The following is an 848-nucleotide window of genomic DNA, read 5'->3' on the forward strand; positions in this document are numbered from 1 at the left end:
GTCTGGGTCTTACCTATGCCTTTGCTACCTGGGCACCTCCGCAGTGCCTGGCACACAGCATTCTCCTGTCTCCTTTCTGTCTAGTGCTTCTGTTTCTTTCTCCCAAGCATCCCACCAGCTGGAGACCCTGGTCAAGAGCTGCGGGTCAGATGGTGACGGGGACCAAGCTTTTAGATCAAGGTGGCGCAGGTGGAACTTTCAGGTCAGGCTGACGGCTCTTTGCCTGTCACTGAGAGCTATCAGACTTGCCTCCAGGCCAGGGACTGACTTCCTTTGGTGCTCTAAAGATAGGTCCCGATTTACCTCACCCCCACCCTCATCCAGTTATGGCCTGACCATCACCAAAACAAGCCCAGGACCCATTTTCATTTATCCCTTTAAGAAAGGTTCTTTCTCTTCCTGCCCACGTGCCCTCTACCGCTTGACAGAAGCCTGCTCCCCATTGCCAGGTGCTTTTCTTCCTCCTCCTCTTCTTCTTTTTTTTTTTTGAGACAGAGTCTCGCTCTGCCGCCCAGGCTGGAGTGCAGTGGTGTGATCTTGGCTCACTGCAACCTCCTCCTCCCGGGTTCAAGCGATTATCCTGCCTCAGCCTCCTGAGTAGCTGGGATTACAGGCGTGTGCCAACATGCCTGGCTAATTTTTGTATTTTTAGTAGAGATGGGGTTTCACCATGTTGGTCAGGCTGGTCTCGAACTCCTGACCTTGTGATCTGCCCACCTCAGCCTCCCAAAGAGCTGGGATTACAGGCGTGAGCCACCACACAAGGCCCTTTCTTCCTCTTCTGTCATCTGTGGATTTCCCATCTGCCTCAGTGGAGTCCTTGACCTTTTCCTCCCTGGCCCAGCAGC

This window comes from Homo sapiens, chromosome 2, assembly GCF_000001405.40.
Source record: "Homo sapiens chromosome 2, GRCh38.p14 Primary Assembly".
Lineage (NCBI taxonomy): Eukaryota > Metazoa > Chordata > Mammalia > Primates > Hominidae > Homo > Homo sapiens.